Consider the following 2,318-nt stretch of genomic DNA (forward strand, 5'->3'; position numbering starts at 1 on the left):
AAAAAAAAAAAAAAGAATTAGAGCTTAGTCCTCAATAATGAAAGTGAAATGAAGCCTTACCAAAAGAATAAAATTGTGGTTAACAATAAAAAAAATTTACAGTGCTTCAGCTTAAAAAATTTAAACTAAATTAATTAAAATTATATATGAAATAAAAAATTCTATTCTCCATTTGCATTAGCCACATTTTAAGTGCTTAATAGTCAGTCCCGTTTGCCTAGTGACTTTCATATTGAACAACACAGTTGTATACCCTCACTAATTTTTTCCTTTGTTTTATTAAAAATAGTAAGATATGTTAAGATCTCCTACCATGATGGGGGAACTATTCCTCTTTTTAATCCTATCAACTTTATATATTTGAAGCTATGTTAGTGGGCATAGATATTTCAAGAATTGTTTTATCTTCCTGGTGTATTGCCTTTTTTTGTTTTGTTTTGTTTTGTTTTGTTTTTTTGAGGCAAAGTCTCGCTCTGTCGCCCAAGCTGGAGTTCAGTGGCATGATCTCCGCTCACTGCAGCCTCCACCTCCCGGGTTCAAGTGATTGCCCAGCTAATTTTTGTATTTTTAGTAGAGACAGGGCTTAGCCATGTTGGCCAGGCTGGTCTTGAACTCCTGGCCTCAAGGGATCCCCCCACCTTGGCCTCCTAAAGTGCTGGGATTACAGGCATAAGCCACCATGCCTAGCCAGTGTACTGCCTTTTTAGCATTCCAAAATGTCCCTCTTAATATCTAGTAGTAGTCTTATGTCTACTTTGACTCATATTAAAATAACTATATCGGTTTTCTTTTGGTTTTGTTTCCATTATATACCAAGGTATGTTGTACATTTTTAATAATCAGCTCTCTAGGAATGAGAAGCACTGATTTGTGGCGTTTGCCGCCTTCCATGATGTAGCCACTCTTACCAGGACTGATTTCAAGCTTGTAGCAGGACATTAACTGGCTCACAATATTTCCAAAAATGTGATCACTGATGCTCATGAGCTAGTGTGAGTCGGCTTCAACACCTCACTGATGGTATACTTTTTTCCAGCAACCTCTATGTGTCCTTATATTTAAGGTGGTGGGGGCGGGGGGCTTTTGAAAGGAGCATATGATTTTTTTTTCCCCAGTTTTACAGTGTTTCTCATTTAATTATAATATGATACCTTTTACATTTAATGTCATCATTGAAATATTTGGGTTTACACTTATTTTGCTATTTTTTTATATCTGTCTCATCCACTTTATAATAAAAAATGAATCAATTTTATTATATAATTTAACCCTTCAATGATCTTAGTTATACACCTTCTTTTATCGTTTTCTTAGAGATTAAAATATTCATCTTTGACTTATTACAGTTCACCATGAGATTAAAATACTCATCCTTGACTTATTACAGTTCACTGTAAGTCACTATTTCTGCCACTTCCTGAAGGATGTTAGTACCTTGGGATGCTTTAACTTCATTTACCTTCCTTTTGCCCTTTTTTGGTTGCCCTTTTTGTCATATCTTAATATTCTATATATTTTGTTTTGTTATTTTTATTTTTTTGCAGCAGTTGTTAGCATTTAACAAACCTCCCTCCCTGTGGCTTCACACCACCAGCCCCACTCCAACACCCTTTAATCCTCTCCTGTGCTCTTCTTCTGAAGAATTTGGCCTTCACAATGATAGGATGCTTTGGGAGCTTTCCCTTTCCCAGAACTTTGTAGTAATCTACCACATCAATGGTGGAGAGCCCCAGTCTTGTTTTTAGCAGCATTCTCCTGTGTCTGCTCACTGACCAAAGTCCACAATTTATTGTGATTGGCAGTTGAGCAGGAGCTCTGGTTCCTCTCTAAGTGGTAATCCTCATACCAACTTTCCCAAAGTAGCCAGAGTGATATTTATCAAAGTTTATCCTGTGGTGTTGCATGCCACCAGCATTCTACTGCCTCCTGAGTGCTTCTGGTGCTTGCTGATGAGGCAGTGGCCGTGGCTCATGTGGCCCCAAAGTTTCTGGGTCTTTCTCATTCCGGATGGCATGTCAGCAACTGAGACAACATAGAGAGACTCTATATATTTTTAAGTCCACTAGGCATTTTTATTATTGTTTTATAAGACAAAATTTATTTAGCTTTAACCCCATATTTACCTTTTTCATTGCTCTTTACTCTTCAATGTCTGTGCCTTTCTCTGTAGTTATATTCCTTCTTAAAGAATGCCTTTCAGTATTTATATTTACACAATTCTGCTGGCAAGAAACTATTATTGTTATTACTTCAAAAAACCCTTTGTTTTCATTTATAAGTATATTTTTATTTCAAATAGAATTTTAGGTTAGCAAGTA

The 2,318-nt window shown here is 36.2% G+C and overlaps 1 pseudogene; it reads right to left on the bottom strand.

Annotated features, from left to right (window-relative positions):
* On the bottom strand, positions 1,546 to 2,036 carry RPL27AP7 (ribosomal protein L27a pseudogene 7; annotated as a pseudogene).

The sequence above is a fragment of the Homo sapiens genome, chromosome 6 (assembly GCF_000001405.40).
Source record: "Homo sapiens chromosome 6, GRCh38.p14 Primary Assembly".
NCBI lineage: Eukaryota > Metazoa > Chordata > Mammalia > Primates > Hominidae > Homo > Homo sapiens.